The 3,679-nt window shown below is 37.7% G+C and overlaps 1 annotated feature.

The window, feature by feature from the left end:
- Positions 1,010 to 1,594: an enhancer, noted in NCBI's record as "OCT4-NANOG hESC enhancer chr4:61348812-61349396 (GRCh37/hg19 assembly coordinates)". NCBI's record gives its function as "activates a minimal SCP1, AML or CMV promoter by ChIP-STARR-seq in naive H9 embryonic stem cells {active_cell/tissue: H9 hESC(naive)}" and the evidence as "EXISTENCE:reporter gene assay evidence [ECO:0000049][PMID:30033119]".

Here is a 3,679-nt window from a genome sequence, read left to right as displayed (position 1 = left end):
AAAGTACAGACAATTGACCCAGACTGACTGGATTTTAATCCTAGTTGTACCACTTAATAGTCAACTGATCTTTATTAAATTATTTAAGCTCTTTTTACCTTCACTTTACACCTGTTTTAAATGGGTTGGTTGTAGTTCATGCTTTGTATGATTGTTAGAATTATAAAATTAGCATATGTTAGCACTTAGCATTGGTGCTAAAATTAACATGTTAGCAACGGTATAGGGTAAACATTCTACTAATGCTATCTATTATTATTATGTTCCTCAGCAGCTTTTAGTTGCATATGTATAGAGAGAGGACATGATAACATATACAATTATGCAAAGTTAAGATGTTATGTGATGGAAAGACATGGGTGAGTTTAGAAAATTAAGTACTCATTAGTTAAAGCAAAGGATTGGAGAACGTGTGCTGGATAAATAGAATGTAAGAGCAGGATAGGTCTGATAGATACAAGATGATGACTTGTATTGTGGAGCAAATGAAAGTATTATTAAATAATCACATATTTTACATGTCAGTCTGTTCAGGCCATAAACCAGTGGCTTATAAATAAGGGAAATTTATTTATTGCAGTCCTGGAGGCTTGTGAAGTCCAAAATCAAGGCACAAGCAGATTTGGTGTCTGGTGAGGGTCTGCTTTCTGGTTAATAAACTGCCCCCGTCTCACTGTAACTTCACATGGCAGAAAGGGCAACAGATCTTCCTGGGGTCTCTTTTATAATGACACTAATGTCATTCATGAGGGTTCCACTCTTATCACCTAAGCAACTCTCAAAGATCCCACCTCCAAATACCATCACATTAGAAATCAATATATGAATTTTGAATGTATAAAAACATTCAGCCTATGGTATCATACTCCTGTTCCCCCAAAATTTATGTCCTTCTTACAGGCAAAATACATTCATTCCATCTCAACAGCCCCACGTCTTAACTCATTTTAACATTAACTGAAAAGTAGAAAGTCCAAAATCTCATCTAAATATTATCTAAATTAGATGTTGATGACACTTAATGTATGATTCATCCTGAAGTAATTCCTTTACAGTCTTGAACCTGTGAAATCAAATGCATTATTTGCTTCCAAAATATAATAGTGGGGCAGGCATAGGATAGACATTACTTTTCCAAAAGAGAGAAAAGAAAAAGGAGTGACAGCTCTTAAGTAAGTTTGAAACTGAATGGGGCAAATTTCATTAGACCTTAACACATTATCCTTTCTAGCTCAATGTTCTGCCCTGCAGGACCACTGGGGTGAAGATCACACACTGGCTCTGGGGGACTTAAGTCTCATCCTTTGAAATCTAAGTGGAGGCAACTCTGCTCCCGGGGCTTTTATTATCTGTGAGCTTGTGGAGTTGGCAACATGCAGATACCACCAAAGTTTTCTGTCTGTGCCTTTCAGAGAGGTGGCCAATGCAGCCTGTGCTACATGAGGGCCCACCTAAACTTTACCTGGGGCAGCTGTGTGTAATGCCAGAGAGCAAGGCATTGAGGCAAACTGAGGTCCCACAGACTCTGACAGTCTCTCCTTTGAAACCACTCTTCCCTGAAGGCCCTTACGCTTTGAGCCTGTGATAAGAGAGTTAGTCCTAATAATCCTTAAATTGCTTTCAGGGTAATTATTCCATTGTCCTGGATAATAGCTCCTGGCTTCTGTTTAGATGGTTGATCCACACTAATCTCCTTATTAAACAGTCACTTGCCCACACCCTTAGTGTTCTTTCCCAAAGAGGCTTTCTCGTTCATTATAATATGAATATACTGAGAGTTTTCAGTTTTCCCAGTCTTTACATTCTGCTTCCATTTTGATTAAAATCATTGTCCTTATGTCATTTCTGTCTTCTTGCATTTTATTATAAGCAATCAGGAAGAATCATGCTGCTCTTTCAACACTTGAGTGAGAACTTTCCTCAGCCAGATATCCAATTTCATCACTCACAAGTTCTACTTTCCACAAAAAATATGAAACAAAACCAATTCTGCCAAGTTATTTGCTACATTATAATAACGATGATCTTTCTTCAGTTTCCAAAAACATTCCTTTGCATTCTGAGTTCTCATCAGAATGCCCTTTACTATCCATATTTATATGAACATCTGTTCAAGATTACTTAGGTATTCTCTTAAAATATTGAGGCATTCTCTGTAATTTCTCCTTTTCTTTTTGAGTTCTCTTGAGAAGTATCTTAAAGTTTCATTCATGGCCATGTAGACACTTTCAGCATGTAAGTCAAAACTCTTCCAGGCTGTGCCCGTCACCTGGCGCCTGATCTTGGTTTATCTGAGTGACTATAACCACATGCCATAAACTAGGTGGCTTATAGACAATAGTAAATTATTTCTTACCATTCTGGAGTCTAGAAAGGTCAAGGCACCAGCAGATTTTGTGTCAGGTGAGGTCCCACTTCCTGGTTGATAGACTGTCATCTTCTTCTTGTGTCATCACACGATATAAGGAGCTAGGCAGCTATTTGGGGTCTCTTTTATAAATGCAATAATCTCACTGATATGATCTCCACCCTCATTACCCAATCACTTCACAAAGGCCCCACATCCAAATACCATCACATTGAGGATTAGGTTTCAACAAGTGAATGTTGTGGGGACATAAACATTCAGTCTATAGCAGATAGGAACTAGCCCAGAAAACACATAATTTAGGTGTGTATATATTTTTGTCTGGTTTTAAAGCTCACTCTGAATAATGAATAGGCTCATAGAAGACATTAATACTTCAAGGAATGATGGTGAATAAGCAAAGTTTAGTAAATGTAAATAAAGAGAGAAAATGGGATGTGGTATATATGTGTTTCATGAACTATAATGTGTATACAATTCTGATCATAATGCTTAGTACTTATAATTTGTTGCATAGGTATGACTTCAATAAATGCATGCACCATAAAGGATCTGGGCTTTTCTTATTATTGAAGAAAAAAATGGTCTGGAAGACACAATGTGAAATAAGGAAGATCCCATCTCATATATGACCTTATGACAGACTCTGATGAGGATGATACATAAGTATAATGGGAAGTTTTGTGGGTTATGCAAGTGAAAGCACCTTCCATTTGAAAAAGTTTGGGTAGCAATGGCAACAAAAGCCACAATTGACAAATGGGATCTAATTAAACTAAAGAGCTTCTGCACAGCGAAAGAAACTACCATCAGAGTGAACAGGCAACCCACAAAATGGGAGAAAATTTTCGCAACCTACTCATCTGACAAAGGGCTAATATCCAGAATCTACAATGAACTCAAACAAATTTACAAGAAAAAAACAAACAAACCCATCAAAAAGTGGGCAAAGGACATGAACAGACACTCCTCAAAAGAAGACATTTATGCAGCCAAAAAACACATGCAAAAATGCTCACCATCACTGGCCATCAGAGAAATGCAAATCAAAACCACAGTGAGATACCATCTCACACCAGTTAGAATGGCAATCATTAAAAAGTCAGGAAACAGCAGGTGCTGGAGAGGATGTGGAGAAATAGGAACACTTTTACACTGTTGGTGGGGCTGTAAACTAGTTCAACCATTGTGGAAGTTGGTGTGGCGATTCCTCAGGGATCTAGAACTAGAAATACCATTTGACCCAGCCATCCCATTACTGGGTATATACCCAAAGGACTATAAATCATGCTGCTATAAAGACACATGCAC

Source organism: Homo sapiens, chromosome 4 (genome assembly GCF_000001405.40).
Source record: "Homo sapiens chromosome 4, GRCh38.p14 Primary Assembly".
In the NCBI taxonomy this organism is placed as follows: domain Eukaryota; kingdom Metazoa; phylum Chordata; class Mammalia; order Primates; family Hominidae; genus Homo; species Homo sapiens.
The sequence above is the reverse complement of the archived record's forward strand: the minus strand, read 5'-3'. Positions and strand labels throughout refer to the sequence as shown.